The 17,427-nt window shown below is 52.1% G+C and overlaps 1 protein-coding gene across 1 annotated transcript in view, besides 2 other annotated features; it reads left to right on the top strand.

The window, feature by feature from the left end:
• Positions 1–16,721, top strand: part of MN1 (MN1 proto-oncogene, transcriptional regulator) — a 53,480-nt gene extending 36,759 nt beyond the window's left edge. Inside the window, exon 2 of the mRNA NM_002430.3 lies at positions 13,902–16,721. Coding sequence (NP_002421.3) covers positions 13,902–14,083 — 182 coding nt within the window. The 3' untranslated portion in view covers positions 14,084–16,721. The remainder of the gene's footprint in view (positions 1–13,901) is intronic.
• Positions 6,524–7,206: an enhancer, noted in NCBI's record as "H3K27ac-H3K4me1 hESC enhancer chr22:28153780-28154462 (GRCh37/hg19 assembly coordinates)". NCBI's record gives its function as "activates a minimal SCP1, AML or CMV promoter by ChIP-STARR-seq in primed H9 embryonic stem cells {active_cell/tissue: H9 hESC(primed)}" and the evidence as "EXISTENCE:reporter gene assay evidence [ECO:0000049][PMID:30033119]".
• Positions 14,675–15,545: an enhancer, noted in NCBI's record as "H3K27ac-H3K4me1 hESC enhancer chr22:28145441-28146311 (GRCh37/hg19 assembly coordinates)". NCBI's record gives its function as "activates a minimal SCP1, AML or CMV promoter by ChIP-STARR-seq in primed H9 embryonic stem cells {active_cell/tissue: H9 hESC(primed)}" and the evidence as "EXISTENCE:reporter gene assay evidence [ECO:0000049][PMID:30033119]".

Here is a 17,427-nt window from a genome sequence, read left to right as displayed (position 1 = left end):
ACAATCTGATGCAACTCTAGGAAAACAGCCATAAACAAAATGTAAACAAATGAGCAAGGCTGTGTTCCAATAAAACTTTATTTACAAAAACAGGGAGTGGGCCAGTTTTGACTTGTGTGCTGTAGTGGGCTGACCCTAGCAGCGTCTTTATCTGAGAAATGGGACTAGGAGAATAGATGCTTCCTCCAGGGTTACATGAGGAATTATTGAGTTTAAAAGAATGAACATGTGATAGGTACTAGCGGTAATTATGTTATTGGTAATATCATATGTCATTCTCCTGGCAGCCCTGCCCGGTAGGTCTAAGATCTCATTTCACAGATGGGGAAACCAAGACACAGACAGATTAAGTGACTTGCCCTCAGCCCTTCTGCTCACTGTTGGATGACCTGGCACGAGTCCCCATTCCTCTCAGGCTTCTGATTCCCTACCTGTAGCCTCAGAGAGGACTTGGTGATGTAATGCACAGAGCATGATGATCACATCCATTGTGCAGAGGGGAAGTAGAGGCACAGGTGGAGCCCCTTGTAGAGGTCACCATCTGAGATGTGGCAGGGCTGGAATGAGGAACTAAGCTGGATTTCTTGGGGCCCCAAGTTAGAGGCATCTGACTTAGAAGCTGCCTTGGGCACCTGGCCAGCCCAGTGAGACCCAAGCTTTCTCAAGGTACCGTTCCCATGGGAGTGGGACTCTTTTCCCTCACCTTGCTTAGAGTTGGAGAATACAAGGGACTTGGTTCTCAATAAGGGGCTATGTTTCTAAGTCAGGTGTTCTACGGCAAGGTTAGATGGATGAGGTGCAAGCCCCTTTATTAATTTTGATGGATTCTCGATGCTCCTTCTCTGCTCAGAAGCCTTCCTTGGCTCCCCATTGCTGGCAGGAACACGGTCTAACTTCTTCCAGGGGTCTCCATGACTGACCTCACTTGAATTTTGCAGCCTCCTCTTCCCTCGTTTCACACCCATCCCTAAATCAGGGTCCCTGGGCCAGTCTCTTGCTTTGGAAGGAGTCACGCCTGGGTTTGGCGTGCTCCTCTCGCCTCCTCTTCCTGCAAAGCTTGCTTAACCCCCTACTTGCACACCGCCTCCTCTGTGAAGTCTTCCAGGATCCCCAGTTCTCCCCTCAGATCTCACAACATGGGCCTGCCTTTTGCTCTGGTGGAGCTCCTGCTCTATTTTGCAGGTTCATGTTTACCGGAATATCTCTCCCATAGGGTGGGAGCTCTGGAAGGTGGTGGAACCTGTGTTGGGTTCACCTCTCTGAGCTCAGTGCCCAGCACATGGCTGCAGGCACACATGTGGCTGTGATCAGCTCATTGCCACGTTGTTAGTGGCCTCACGAGGACTCCCTTCCTCTAGGCTGCCCTAGGCCCAGGCTTGGGGAATTGATAATGGTAGCAGGACTTTGACCGTCGGTTGGGTACCAATTCATCCCCTTCTTTGCAAGGAAGGAATGACCAAACCCATTTTTCAGAGGAGGCAGTGGAGGCATCAAAGTGGCTGATCCAGGGTCACACAACCCAACAGTGGCAGGGATGGATTTCAAACTCAGGCCTCTGTCTCCAAAGTGCGTGACTGTGCACAACTGACCCCTATGCAAAGCCCTTCCCCGGCGATGAAGCAGTGCGTGGGAACTTATGTGGGTAAGCCGGCCCCTTGCCAGCTGTGCTGACCCGACACAGGAAAATACCCCAGAGCTCCTGGCAGACCCATGGATGGGGGGGATGAGGCAGGTGCTCCATAGGACCTCCACCCAAAGTATCAGCACTTTGAAAATGTGTTTTTTTAAAATCCAGACTTGCACTGAACCTCATGTTTCCTCCAATGGGCTGGAAGCAATGAGGCTCTAATTCCAAATAAATGTGAATGTATATTTGTTTTGTTTTGTTTTGTTTTGTTTTTTTGAGATAAGGTCTTGCTCTGTCACCCGGGCCAGAGTGCAATGGCACCATCACAGCTCACTGCAGCCTCGAAATCCCAGTTTCAAGTGATCCTACCAAGTAGCTGAGACCATAGGCACACACCACCATGCTTGGCTAATGTTTTATTTTTTATTTTTATTTTTTGAGACAGCGTCCTGTTATGTTGCCTAGGATGGTCTTGAACTCCTGGGCTCAAGCAATCCTCCTGCCTCGGCTTCCCAAAGTGTTGGAATTACAGTCATGAGCCACCGCACTCGGCCTCTATTTGTTTACTTTTTTTTTTTATTATAGATAAAAATCATTATTTGTTGAATGACTTACCACTTGCCAGGCAGAGTGCTAGGAGTTCAGTGAGGTGTCAGCCCTGGTGTTTAGTTGCTCCAGTTTCTGTGCGAGCATGCTGGGGCTCAGAGAGGTACAGCATCCTGCCCAGGCCACTCAGTATAGGGTCTAACACTATGTGGGTGAATCTTGGGCAAGAAGGCAAGAAAACAGAGAGGGGGAGGGCTGTGCTGGAGACAGGGCTGGAGAGACTCTCAAATATAATAATAGTACTTAATGGTAATACTATTACCAGCATTACCGGTATTACCAGCAAATACTATTATTATATTTGAGAGTCTTTCCAGAATGGCAGCTACTATTTATGGGGTGAAGTCAGCCCCTGGCACTGTGCTAAGCACTTTGCTTGTATTGCCCCCAGGCCTTCCCTCCTATGAGAATGATACTGTCTCCATCCCCATTTCATAGATGAGGAAATTGAGGCTCAGAGGAGTCAATTTCCTCAGAACCGACGGGCTGTGCTTTTGCATAAGCACGCGGGCAACACCACCATCAGGAGGAAGGTGCAGGCTAAGCGACTGGCCCTCAGCCCCCCGGGGCCTGTCACATCTTAGCAGCATACAGGTCAGGAGTGGCCCCAGGGTGTGCAGGGCTGCATCTGTCACAGGTCACTGGCTGCGTGGCCGGAGGTGCCAGGCAGGACAGGGAGCCCAATCAGAGATGCCCAGGCCTGGTGCGAGGAGCCCACTCTGTCCATCCTGCCGTCCGCGGCTGTCATGCACCACCTCATCCCCTCCTTCAGGGCCAGGGACAGTCCCTAGGACTCAGCCTCCCCCCGCATTCCCCGGTCCTGCCCCCAGCTCCTGGCAGCCGGGTTCCGATGATGCCCTTGCAGCCTCTCCTCTGTGGAGCCCTCGGCCAGTTCTCAATCTAAATGACAGCTGCCCTCAGCCAAGTCAACTCAAATTAATTTCCTAAGGCTTCCAGGGGCCTGGCCCAGCCTCTCACCAGACTGCACTGCTGCAGCGGCCGGCGCGAGGCCTCTGCTTCACCCTCGTGGGGCCTGGAACGGGGGGGCCTTGCAGACCCCTCCTGCCCATCATGAGTTGGGGGGCTGTCTTTGCACCTGGCTCTGTGCCCAGGGCAGAAGGGGAATGCAGGCCCTCCCTGCCCCCAGGTGCCCCCATCCCTGCCGTGTGCTGCCTCCTGTCAGATGGGGGAAGGTTGCAGCTGAAACTTTGGTAACATCAGTGGTGAGGGAAGAAACGTTAAGGGGCGGGGGCTGTCCGGTTTTGTCCTCAGCTTCTGTGTCACCCTGGGAAGTTCTCATCCCATCTGTGAGCCTTGGGTTTTTTTTTTTTTCCCCCAAAAAGTGTGTGTGAGAGAGAGAGAGAGAAAGAGAGAGAGAAATAAGAAGAACTAGAGAATAAGAGGGAGGGGGAGAAGGAGAGAGGGAGGGAGATACGGATGGAGGGGCAGAAAGAGGAAGAATAAGAGAGAGGGAGAGAGAGAGGATGGATAATGGACAGAGGGAGGGTGAATAAGAGCAAGACATGAGGGAGAGAGAGAGAGAAAGAGAGAGAGCGAGAACGAGACAGATTGAAAGGAGGAGAATGCTTGCAAGAGAGAAATTGGGGGTGGTGGTGGGGTGGGAGAGGTCGTGCCAGTCACTTTGGCCAATGATGTTTCCCTTTTTCATGCAACTTTGATAAAAACCACACACTGTGACATCAGACGTCTCTGGGTGTGACCTTGGCTCTGCGGATGGCTGGCTGTGTGACCCTGCGCCTGTGGCATCGCCTCCTTGAGGCTCAGTGTCCTCTGCTGTAAAATGGGCTAGTGTGTCGGGCCATCTCTCCCTCTGGGTGTTGGAGTCATTCACTGTGACCGACTGAGCCTGCAGGTCATGTTCACGGTCACGCCCTGGAGCCGACTCGCATAGAGACAGTGGTCTGCTTTCCCTTTTCCTTTTCTCGATTGCCACGGTGACACTATTGATGGAAGTTGTCATTGATGGGAGGGCAGAGAAGGGGCAGGGGACACAGGCATAGGGCTGGGCCAAGGAGTGGCTAGTCCCCTGGGCCTGCCTCGGGCTCTGCGTGGCCCCGGTGGGATGCCTAGAGTGTCACGCAGGCTGTTGGCCACTATCTCTTGGTCCCCATCCTTGGGGTTGTGGGTGTGGTTCCCTGAGCTCAGGTCAAGATGTCTCAGTGGCCTTTGCTTAGGCTCCTGCCCCAGACTCTTGCCTATATCAAATGTAAAATCTTTCTTTCTTTATTTTTTTTAGAGACAGGGTCTTGCTCTGTCACTCTGGCTGGAGTGCAGTGGCATGATCCCAGCTCACTGCAGCCTCAATCTCCTGGGCTCAATAGATCCTCCTGCACCAGCCTCCCAAGCAGCTGGGACTACCAGCATGCACCACCATGTCTGGTTAATTTTTTTTTTTCTTTGAGACGGAGTCTTGCTCTGTGGCCCAGGCTGGAGTGCAATGGTGTGATCTCGGCTCACTGCAAGCTCTGCCTTCTGGGTTCAAGCGATTCTCCTGCCTCAGCCTCCCAAGTAGTTGAGACTACAGGCATGTGCCACTACTCCCGGCTAATTTTTGTATTTTTAGTAGAGATGGGACCATGTTGGCCAGGCTGGTCATGAACTCCTGACCTCAAGTGATCCACCCACCTTGGTCTCACAAAGTTCTGGGATTACAGGTGTGAGCCACCACGCCCAGCCAATGTCTGGTTAATTTAAAAAAATTTTATAGAGACAGTATCAGGCTGGTCTTGAACTCCTGGCCTTAAGCAATCCTCCCACCTGCACCTCCCAAATTGCTGGGATTACACATGTAAGCCACCTTGCCCAGCTCAAATGTGAAATCTGATTGCCCCAGAGGGATAGAAGGGATTTGGGGGGAGGGTTGTATATCTACCCAAACCACTAGTCATTTTAGAGAGGGCCAGTTAGGCCCAGAGAGGGAGAGTGACTTGCCCAGGATCACACAGCAAGCAAGGTGACAGAGCTGAGATGAAAATGTGAGCCATTCATTAAAACACTTAACAAATACTTATCAGGTGCCTACTGTGTGCTAGGAAGCAGGTGGGAGCCACATGGGCATGTCTGCCCTTAGGGTCTCCAGGCCATTGTCACTGGAGGGATTGTTATCCCCTTCTACAGATAGGGAAACTGAGGCTCAGCAAGTGGACCCACCGAAGATCACAGAGCTAGTGAGGGGCAGAGTTGAGATTCAGACCATGGTGGGCTTTGAACTCAGGCCTCCAAGCTCAGAGTTGGGACAACCTCTAAGCTGATGCGTGTCTGGGAGGGTTGGGGTGGGAGCCAACCGTGAAGTTTCAGGTTTGCTGTTTTCCTGCTTGGTTGGTGGCCGTGTAGACCTTCTTTCTGATCCCTGATATCTGGCTGAGATTTGCTGTTCCTGCCCCTGAGCCCAGAGTCTTTGAGTTTCCCAGGCCCCATCTATCTTTCTATAGAAGGGGACGTGGCCCAGGGATCAAGTGTGCACAGGCAGCCAAGGCAGGTCATTCTTGGGGTTGTGGGGCCCCGCAGACGGGTTCTAGTTGGGCTGTGGGGGCCAACTCCACAGGGGTCAAATCCTCCACCTTTCTCAGTGGTAGGTTCTTGGAGACAGGTCTTAGCACTGCAGTCAAAAGCCTGTGACTGAGCACGGTGGCTCATGCCTATAATCCCAACACTTTGGGAGGCCAAGGCAGGTGGATTGCTTGAGCTCACGAGTTCGAGACCAGCTTGGGCAACATGGTGAACTCCCATCTGTATAAAAAAAATACAAGAATTAGCCGGGCGTGGTGGCGCATGCCTGTAGTCCCAGCTACTTGGGAGGCTGAGGTGGGAGTATTGCTTGAGCCTGGGAGGCAGAGGTTGTAGTGAACTGTGATCATGCCACTGCACTCCAACCTGGGTAATAGAGCTAGATCTTGTCTCAAAAAAACAAAAACAAAAACCTGTGACTATACTTTCTATTGGGCAAGGCTCTCTACTCCTGTGACTTCTGTCTGCCCTGATAGCTGGTAGCATTTTCCTGGGTACCTGCCATATGCCAGGCACAATAGAACCTTATCTTCTTCCCATTTCACAGAGAAGAAAGGTGAGGCTCGGAGAGGGAAAGTGACTTGCCCAAGCTTGAGCTGCTGGGAACAATGCCAGGGACCAGGATACAGACCTTGGTCATCTGACTCCAAAGTCCCCCGTGATGTTTTCTGTGTTTGGTGGCCTGTTGGTGAGGGGCCCTGCCCTCAGAACACCCCTCTGCCAGAGCAAGATGTGTGAGCACATCCCTGAAGCCAGCAAGCCTGCAGCTAGCGGTATCATTACCATCATGGTAGCCGGAGCCAGGGGTGCCATCTGCCAGCAGGGAGAGAAGTATGCACATCTCAGAGTAGGGGTGTTAGAGAAACATCGCCATGGGGCTGACAGCCAGGTAGGATGGCAGGAGTCACCTGGGGTGAGGAGGGGCAGGTGCTCTAGGCAGAAAAAACCGCAGCAGCAAAGGTGTGGAGGTGGAAGGATCAGGGCTCTGCTGAGAGAATGTATAGTTGGGGCTTCAGTGCAGGAGAGAGCACTGAGAGATGAGGTCAGAGGCCCGAGAGGGAGTCAGCCTGGGGCATGCAAAGCTGCGAGGCACTGGGGAGCCATGGAAGGTTCAAGCAGGAGAGAGGCCTGCTCTGGTTGGTGCTTCAGGAAACTCCCCCAGCTGACAGGTTTGGAGGGCAGTGTGTAAGCAGAGAGTGAGGCAAGGTGGCAGCTGCAGGCAGGAGATGGTTGGTATGTGGGCCAGGGTGGGGTAGTGGGGCAGGAGAAAAGTGGGCAGACTTTGGAGGCAGCCTCTTCCCTCCTTGGTGCCTGGGCTGACTGTGGGGGATGGGGAGGAGGGAAGAGTGACCTGGAATGCCCGGGGCTTGCTTGGATGCAATGGCCCTGCCCTTCTAAGGAGGTGAGGAACAGAAAAGCTACCAAGGTCTGGGGGTCACAGATAAGTGTGTGGGGGGCCTAAGAGACTCCCAGGCTGTAGCACGAAGGCTCCAAGAAGTGGTGGCTCAGCCCTGTGGCCCACCAGACCTGATTCAGCTTCCAGGCCCAGTCGCCCAGCCCCCCAGTTGAGTGGCAGCTGTCACAGAACCCAATGTCTCCCCGCACCAGGTCCAAATAAAGGAAAAACCAAAATACATTTCCCTTTGTCGGAATCCAGCGAGGGTGAGTTGGGCGAGAGTCATCCGCTATTGTGTGCTGAGGCCCACACTGCTTCTTACATAAGCCCCGAGTTAAAAATATGCCCGGAATTCTCATTCTCAAGCTCTGCCTGGGATTGCACCCTGACCCCCAGCCTCGGCAGCTTCTAGCACCCACAGGGATGAAGAAACTGCCCCATGGCACAACGCTGGCACGTGGCACTTCTAGCTCTGTCTGCCTCCAGTGCCACGAACAGTAAGAGTGCGCCGGGTGCGGTGGCTCACGCCTGTAATCCCAGCACTTTGGGAGGCCAAGGTGGGCAGATCACTTGAGCCCAGGAGTTTGAGACCAGCCTGGGCAACATAGCAAGACCCCATCTCTACAAAAAACAAAAGAAAAACCAGGGGCTGGATTGCAGGCCTGGCTCTGCCCCTGACTCCGTGTGACCTTGATCAGGCTCTGACTCTCTGGACCATCTTTCAGTTCATCTGTAAAGAGCAACAGTAGTACCAGGTTAGGGGATTAGAAGGAAAAATGTGGCCAGGCATGGTGGCTCACCCCTGTAATCCCAGCACTTTGGGAGGCTGAGATGGGAGGATTGCTTGAACCCAGGAATACAAGACTAGGCTTGGCAACATAGTGAGAACCTCATCTCTACAAAATAAATTTTAAAAAATTAGCCGAGTGTGGTAGTGCACACCCATAGTCCCAGCTACTTGGGAGGATGAGGTGGGAGGATTGCTTGAGCCCAGGAGGTTGAGGTTGCAGTGAGCTATGATTGTGCCACTGCACTCCAGCCTGGATGACAGAGCGAGACTCTATCTCTAAAAGAAAAAGAAAAACAACAACAACAAAAGAATGATAAGTGTCAGAGCAGCTACCCTTTTTTTGACAAAGGGCTCACCTTATGCTGAAGGCTTTCCAGCTGTCATCTCACTTAATCCTCCTAGCAGCCTGCAAGGTAGGTTCTCTTACTCCTCCCGTACTAGAGAAGAGGTGAGCACCTAGCCCGGAGTACCCAGGGAGCCCTTGATATGGGCAGTTGTTGGGCTCTGTCCTTCTTCCCGAATACCCCTGGCTTTCCCTCAGGTAGGCAGCGGGGCAGGAGGTGGCTGGGTCAGAAGTCTCCTTCCCTGGGGCTCAGTGGTGGAACCGTGGCTGGGAGAACCACCGAGGCAGCCCTTTGCCTGGCGTGGGAGGTGGCAGCCACCTCCGCCCGGCTCACGACGCCTGAGCACGTGGCTCACCCACATTGGAACCTGGTCCGCGGATTTTAGTGCAGAGCAGGGTGATGACGAGGCCTGTTTTGCTGACTTCAAAGAAAAAAAGAAAACTCGGCCCCCTCTATGGGTGGGTGGCATCTCTAGAAGCAAAATTTAAAATGCAACATCCCCAGGTAAACGTCCCCTCTTTTCCATTCTCCCTTCACCCCAGGCACAGCCTGCAGAAGGGTCACTCAGCCCTCCCCGGGCCCAGCCCTGCAGGTCCCCACTGTCACCTGCAGGCTGGCCAACAACATTGACAGGCTGTACTCATAGCCAGCGTTGGCAGGAGCGCCCCACGTGCTAAGCGTTTTGCATGGATCATTTCACTTAATTCTCCTAACTGCCTCCATCACGGCCGGTCCTATTATTTCCCCCATTTCCTAGAACCGAGGTTCTGAGAGCTGAAGTGATGTACAAAAGTTCCTTGCTCCACGAATGGTGGCCACTATCATTGTTGAACCCTGTAAGAGAAACGGAGTGAGTTGAGTTATTCACGCAATTGCTTTTTTTGGCACCTGCTCCTGGTTCTCTCCTTCCCTTAATGGAACTGACTGTCTCCATTGTGGATGGAGAAGTTTGGAAGACAGAATCCAACGTGGGTCTCGTGATCGCAGCGGGGTGAGCAGGGGGCAGACTGAACCTCTGCAGTATGATGACCAAATGAAGTGCTGTGGTGTTCAGGGCAGGGGTGACGGGGTAGTAGGAAGAGGCCGGAAGATCAGCGAGGATTTGTGCCATGAAGAAAAGCTGAGGAGTGCTTTTGGGAGGAGAAAGAGCAGGGGTGTCTGTCTCAGCTCTGGGCCTTGACCCTGGGCATGGAGTGTGAGGTGGTTCTTTCTGGCCATAGCTGTCCTTAAAAACTGTCCTGCAGTCTTTCCTTGCTGGGCAGGCATGCCCATCAGTCCCCAAGAACCAGAGGCCCCTGCCCTCGGCCCCCTGTGCTGCCTGAATCGGGTGAGGCACACACAGGGTTATCTGTTTTGAGATGATGTTGCCCCAGCCTCTGGGACTGACCCCCCAACATGCACATGGTATTGCCAGTCTCTCGTGAGGTCTCCCATGCTGCTCTTAGCCGGGCTCAGCAGGAATCACCACCCCCAAGTTGCAGATGAGGAAACTGTGGCTCTGCAGACAGGAGCTGCCCAGATACAGGGCATTTGGGATTCCACCCTGGCCTGAGCAGCTGGGAATCCTGGGCTGAGAGGAGAGAGCCACACCACCAGAGCTGGTGACATGGCCGTGGGTGACCCCTGGGTAGCTCCTGCCCCTTAGAGCCTCAGTCTTCTCGTCTGTCAAATGGGGATGAAGGGCGCTTCACAGTCAGTACACTGGACCCAACTGAGGGCCTGGTGTGTGCAGGGTCGGGGGGTGAACAGACCAAACCTGCCCTTCTCCACATGGCCACAGTCTGATGGGGGAGGCTGACAATCAAGTGGAAAACAGAACAGCACTCACTGGGTCCTGTGATGTCTGCCAGTGCTGGGCGCTGAGTGACTCCATGATCTCCGCCAACCCTGGGAGCTTGGCAAGGGGGTGGTTTTATCTCTGGGTCCTGGCGTGGGGGCTGGCGTGCTTACCGCCTCAAGGAGCGGAGACTGAGGGCCTCTCTTGAGCTGGGGCAGGCCATGACTTGAGGCGGCTTCCGTGGGACTGATTTATCGGCAGCGACTCGGCAGCCCTGGGGAGCCGCGGTCTGAGGGCGTGTTAGGTCCCCCTAGCTGGAATGAATCCAGCGGGAGGATGAGTTTGGTCATGCTTGGGTTGTCAAGAACTGAAGAATAATATTCTCTCTTAAAAATATTCCCTGTGGATACCAGACTGGTTGGCTCTCTTTCTCATTCTAGGCGGAGGCTGGGGAATCCTGCACCCATGCTCTGTGACATCTGGCAAGGCTCTCACCCTCTCTGAGCCCAGGGTGGCCCTGCTGGGGTGGGGAGAAGGGGCACCCCCACTGATGGGCTTGCTGGGTGATGGGCTTAGATAATACACAGAAGTGTTCAGTTGTGTGCCTGGGATGCCCTCATTAAATCCACCCCTAATAAGAACAGCAATGGTTTCTGGCGTTAGTGCACGGCACGCTTATGGCTGTAACTTGGGGATGAAAGCGTCTTTCGAAAATTTGGCCATTTGGGTCTGTCTTACCCATCACTTGGCAGACCCAGCTTCCTCTGCCCGGTGTGTTGCTCAGGAATTTTCTTTCACTTTCTGGGTGTTTGCAGCCCCAGAGCAAAGAGTTTATCTCTCCTTTGGCAAGGAGCTTCATCCCTCGGAGTTTGTTTCCTCATCTGTAAAGTGGGCTCAAGCATTGCTACGTTCATTCCTTGAGATAATTTGTGCAAAGTGGGGGAAATAACCCCCTTTCAGATTTTCTCTCTTTCTCTCTCTCTGTGGCAGGTACTACTTCCCTCACCCCACCCCAGTCCAGATCTTGCAGTGCTTGGAATAAAATTCCTTTGGAGATATTAAGCAGGGTAGGGTGGAGGGGTCGCTGGGAACAAGGCAAGCATGGGTTCAAGAGCAAAGGTTGGGGCACTGTGCCTCAGTATTGCCAGAATCCAGGGCCTGCCATGTTCCTAGAAACCCTGCATCTGATGCCTTAAGCTTCCTGGTGTACCTTCTCCCCAGGAAGCCCTGGGTGGGGTATTAACAACATCCAGATTTCACCACTACTAACTAGCTTTGAAACCTTGGATTCAGAACCTCAGTTTCTCCTTCTGTGAAATGGGGCAAAGGCTCCTGTTTCATGGGCAGGAACACGCCCACCTAGCTGGGCCCCAGGAAGTAGTGGGGCTTTAGGGGATTCTAAGTGGCTGCAAAGCCCCCCTCACCCCCGACCCTCCCAGATATGAATGACAGTCCCAGCAGCACTGTTTGGGGGACTGTCTGTGTGCCAGGCCATTACAAGGCCCCAGGGGAGATGACATCATCCCCATTTCACCCATGGGGAAACTGAGGTCCAGAGAGGGAACATGGTAGAGCCTTGGCCACACAGTAGTGGGGCTGTGACTTCAAAGTGACCGTGCTTTGGTCACAAAGAGACACTGTTTCCTGGCCTCACCATCAGCTCCAGGAGGAGGGTGGGGATAGTGTCTGTCCTATTCCATGCTAGATCCATAGGGTTTGTACCATGCCTGGCATATAGAAGGTCCTCAATAAAGGCATGTTAGTTGCATGAATGAGGGAAGGGGCCAAGGAAGTCTCCTTTCTGCCCAGCTCCGGCTCCTCCCAGCATGCAGGTCCCAAAGCTGAGTGTCTCTGGGGCTCCAGGGTGGGGGCCCCAAGCCCAGTTAGTCATGGCCTGTCCTCAGCTGCCTGGGCCCATCCCTCTGGGAGGATTTTCTCTGCAGGCTGTGGCTCAGCTCCTGGGGGAGGCCTCCTGCTTAATCCCAGAGGGCAGGGCGGGCCGGTGACTCCTGCCTGGCACAGGGCCCTTGGCTGGGCTTGCACAGAGGATTGAGGGCAGGCCGGTCATGGAGTTCAGTATCTGGGTGTGCTCCCTCAGCTGGAGCAGAGCCCCCCACCCCCAATTTCAGCTTTTCTCACTACTACTGAGGCAGAAATTCAACATCAGCCCATATTCAAACCCAGCTTTCTGTCCCTTCCAGGCTGTGTGACCTTGGACATACTCTAAAGTCAGAGTCTAGGAAATGAGAATAATGAGACTCTTCATTGACATATGGCAGGTCTCAGGACAGAGCCAGTGGTCATGTGGTAGCCGTAAATGAGAAGTCCTGCAAATTCCCTGCTTTGGTCTAATTTATACTAAGATGTGAATGGTTGTCAGGCTCCTTTCTCCTCAAGCGTGTCTAACACAGACATCCCTGTGATCTGTGGTGCTTTCTGGCATTGTGTGACTCAATGAAAAGAGGGTTCAGGGGAGTTTCACTAAGGGTATGGGAGAGGAATAGACTCCCCCACCCCAGGCACCCAGAGTCCTTTCACGTAGTAGCTGAGAATGGTGCTTTTGTGCTGGTCTGATTGGGGAGCTCAGATTCTCTGTCTCTCCTGCTCTGAACACTTCATCTTCTGTCCTTGTGAGGACAACACTTTACAGTTTATACAAACACCTTGTACATATCAACAGCCTGGTTGACTAGCCATCATAAGGAGGTGCATGAGCCGGGTGGACACTCCCCTTTTCAGAGGAGGGGACTGGCCTCGGGTCCCTTTGCGGAGCTACAACTGGATTCTCTCAGCCATTAGGTTGGAGCTGTGTGACCCCAGGAAAGTTTCTGTGCCTTTCTGGGGCTCAGACTTCTCATCTGTAAAATGGAGTATGAGCAAGCTAAGGCCAGAGCGTAGGAGGGAATGAAAGACACAGGCAGGTGTCCCGAAGGGCTCCTCTTCTCCCATGCCCCCACTCTCAAAGCCACCTCTATGGAGCCTCAGCCCCTGCACACCAATGAGGGGCAGAACCTTCAGAGGTGGGAGAGGGGCTGAAAAGGGAGTGATTGGAAAGCACTGGGGAGCGCTTGGGGATTGGGGAGCACATGGGGCTTGGGGAGCTGTGGGCGTCTAGTCTTTGTGGCTCAGCTGTGCCAAGCTGGGTATCCACAGGCACCTTCTCCATCCTTCCTGCTCCTCTGGAAAGGGTGCTGTGACTCCACACTTTCTCCTGTGTGACTCGGGGCAAGTCATCTTCCCTCTCTGAGTCTCAGTTTTCTTAGCTGTAAAGTAGAGGTGATCATCCTTCCCCCCTGGAGTTGGTATGCAGTCTGGCACATTTTAAGAAAGTTCCCAGCTCGTGGTAGGCCCTAAGCAAATGTCTCTCCAGAGGATGACACACAAACAGGCTGTGTTCTGGACCCAGACAATCCTCCCCTCCACCCTTTCACTGCATGCGGCGAACTCCTACACATCCTTTGATGCCCAGTTTAGATGCCCCTCCTCCAGGAAGCATTCCTGACTTAGATCACGTCCAGTTAATCTTTTGGGAACTCTGGTGCATCAGAGATGGGCAAACTCTGAGTTTATCCTGCCTCACTTTCCTATTTCCCAGTGGGGAAACTGAGGCCCAACAGGGAGGTCTTCCCTTGGCTGAGATCTCACAGATGAATCAGGGGTAACAGCAAGAAGATTCAAAACAACATCTCTAGATCCTCTGGGACCAGCTTTAGCCATGGAAAGAGGGCGTGGACGGTGCCTGTCTTGTATGCCTCTGCCACTTTGGCCCCCATTATGGTGTCCCTCAGAGACGAGTGTGCCACTAATGTCCTCTCTTCCTTCTCTCTCCACAGCCCACGACCTCCCTGCAAACAAGGCCTCAGCATCCCAGCCTGGCAGCCACTTGCAGTGCCTGTCTGTCCACTGCACAGACGACGTGGGTGACGCCAAGGCTCGAGCCTCCGTGCCCACCTGGCGGTCCCTGCATTCTGACATCTCCAACAGATTTGGGACATTCGTGGCTGCCCTAACTTGAATGACAAGAAAGATCCCCTCCTCTACCAGGCCCTTCCTCTCCCCCTGTCTGTTTCCTTCCCCCTCAACCTTACCCCACCCCTCTGTTAATTTGAAAGGGCCACTATTGCTGAGTGGATGAGTTTTTTTTTTTTCTCTAGGTTGGTACCTGCTTAGTGGCATATGGACCGGAAAGGGTTAATTTAAAGGGGGGGAACCTCAAAAGTTTTTTTAAAAAAGAAACTTGTCTGCCACAGTATGTTACCAGTGTTAACCCTTCTGCAGTTAGCAAACTTTTGCTTAAGCCTTTTTCCTCTAGATACTCCCCATGTTTCGGTAATCTTGGCATACATTTTTTAGATGACCTCTTTCCTTGTTTTGTTTTCATGCTGCTGTATGTCCAAGTATTGTTATTTCATAATAAGACAAGAGTTGCTTTCTTTTTTATTCTTTTTCCTTTTCTTACCCCCTCCCCTTTTATTTTCTTTTTGCTTTGTTCACTGCTTATTAAAATGGAAATCCTGGAGAATAGTAGTTCTGGAATATTGCCGGGTGAAAGTCCAATTGTCATCACAATGTTATATATTGACACCCCAGTGTCATCAGTCAGGCAGGAGCCAAACAATGAATGCCCCTCTTAGGTATTCCGCCTGGGATTTTGTTTTGTCTGTTCCCTAAGAAAATATATTTTCATTCCTGCAAACACAGTGCTCAGCCTTCAGTTCCCTTCCACTTGAGTTCTCTCTTCTCCTGCTGGAAGCCGCCCCTCTCTGCGATGGACGTGAGGACGTGTCCAGCTCTGCTCTGTGGGAAGGAGTTGGAATGTTCGACAGCAGTGTTTTCTCTCCTTTTCTGGGCCTCCTCGCAAATGCCCAGGCCCTGCATTTTCACGCTGTGCTAAGCAGCCTTTGGTCTGCATGGGGGATGGTGTGCTCCCAGCCTGCAGTCTTTGGAGCAAGGCTGCTGCCCGTGCCTTGGGTGCTGGAGTTGGAGGAGGCTGTTCTCAGCCCTTTCCCTTTTCTGAAAGCTGTTCCTGGCCGGGCATCCCAGGGAAGAAGGAGGGGACTGCGTGTATCTCCTCCACCTCTCCCATTCCATCCCCAGTCCAGCCTGGGCAACCCCACCCCTGGGAGGGATGAGGCACCCTCTTGCTCAGCCTGCTCAGCCTTCTCTGAGCCTTTGCAGGGATCTGCAGACTCCTGAGGGCTAGAGGACAGAGAAAGAGAATAGAATGAAATGACTTTGATTCCTGCGCCTTTTAGTTTTGAACTCTGGAATTCCTCTGCCCCCTCCCCAACATTTTTTTGGAATCTCACCCTGTTGCAAAACTAGAGCCATGTCCCAAGCATCTCACAAAGGAATAACTGCTCTGAGCAGAGATGAGTGGTGGTTGGCAGGGGCAGGCAACTTTGGGTGCTGCTGATGCCTGCAAAAGCCATTTATGGCTTGTGGTGGGGGGCACATAGATTCCCCGGTGGGTTAGACAGGAAGTAACTGATATCACTTCACCCAAATATATAACCGTGATGGTTATCTATTTAATTTCAGTTTTTGTTAACGAGCGTGTCTTACTAAAACGCTCCACTTTGAGCTCCCCCACCCCCTCCAGGTCCTCAGAGTTTGCAGATCTGGGCTTTCTAAAGCAAGTGACCTGAAGGCTCTGGGCTCACCATACAACACCCACGTTGTTTATTTCAAAGAACTTTTCAGCGAAGGGAGAGGAGCTTTCAGAAAAACCTCACTCTTTCCCCTCCCTTCTCCCCTCTTTCCTTCTGCCGGTCCTTTTGGCTGGGGTCTGAGTCTGCGGTTCTCGCCTGGGCAGTCTTGACGAGGAGCAAACCCCGCCTTCAGAGGGCAGACAAAGCAGGTGGCATGAATTGATCAGCGAGAAAGGTGTGAGCCGAGGCAGTTCCTGCGTTCTGCTACAAAAGGAATGGAAAGGGAAGGGAATTTCCCCCCACCATGGGCTGTGGGAGAGTTGACCGTATTCTGGGCAAGACTCCATGACCCCTCTGATTCTGCAGTGTACAGCTGTTTGAGAGCCTCATCATTTTACTTTTGAAACAGGAATGATTTCTCCTTAATTGCTTAAGGCCGGGGAGCAAAGTGTCTTAACTTCTGTCTTTGACTTTCCCAGCGTTGAGTCATCAACACTTTGCCAATTAGCTCATGGTCCTGGCAACCTCAGAAACCCCTGAAGTTTTAAAAACTTTCTCGCTCCCCACGACCCCAGAATGAAACAGCTTTAAAAATAGCCTTAAGCAAAAGGATGTTATTTCATTAAATTTGGTTTAATGGAAAGAATAAAAGTAAATGAAAAACACACCCTACACACTAGACTCCGAACACTGGTAATCAGTACTGCATAGCAAACTCTTTGGGAAAGAAAACGAAAATGTTATTGCACATGTAAAATATGAAAACTTAACTCTGCTGTGTGTTAGGCAATCCTGTAATCTTTTTTGACTCTTAAAAGAAATTCATTTCTGAAATGCTTGGTTGGAAGACTGTGACAATAGCTCATGAAATTGAGTGTTATTTTTTTCTTTCTTTTTTAAAAAAATATGTAAAGTGCAGTCTTCTGTATTCCTGCATATTGTATATACCTGTATATGTTTTCCTGAGCAGTTAAATAACAATAAATATGACGTTAATGGTGACTGTGGTATATTTGTGGGTGGGGCTCGCTTTCTTTGTTTCCTCCCAACTCTATCCCCTTTTTACATCAGTCTCTTCAGATTCTATGGGACGTAGGGGTGTAGGTTTGGATGCTGTAGTGGGTGTGTCTGTGTGTGTGTGTCTGTGTGTGTGTTGATGTTCTAAGTTGGGTCATTTCAGTATTTCTCAACCTTGGCACTATTGACATTTTGGGCCTGTTAATTCTTTGCTGGAGTGTAAGGGGGGCAACTAGGCATTTGAGGAGGTTGAACGGCATTCCTGGCCTCCACCCACTAGATGCCAAAAAAAAAAAAAAAAAAAAACCTATCTAAACATTGCCCAATGTCTCCTTGGGGGAAAGATCCTTTGGGGGCCAAGAACCCTGTATCTGACTCATGTAGGAGGGAGGGGGCAACGGAAGTGCCCCCCCCAGTGGCTGTGTAGGGTGATGCTTATGCTTCTGGGTTCTAGTGTTCAGTTTCAGATCCTAGTAAGCCTGGGAATCTCCTGCAAGTTATGCAGCTTCTCAGCTCCACCTTTTCCTCATCTTTGAAAGGGGTCTAGCTCGTGGGGTTGTTATCGGAGACAATGCACTGGACACAACATGTAGGAAGGGCTTCATGTGCATAAAGCGTCAGCATCAGCACCATAATCTTACCACAGGGCAGCCGATGGCGGTCTGGAGTCACGCTGTCCTGGGGCGCATGC

Source organism: Homo sapiens, chromosome 22 (genome assembly GCF_000001405.40).
Source record: "Homo sapiens chromosome 22, GRCh38.p14 Primary Assembly".
NCBI classification, from domain to species: Eukaryota; Metazoa; Chordata; class Mammalia; order Primates; family Hominidae; genus Homo; species Homo sapiens.
This window is presented reverse-complemented; position numbering and strand designations above follow the sequence as displayed.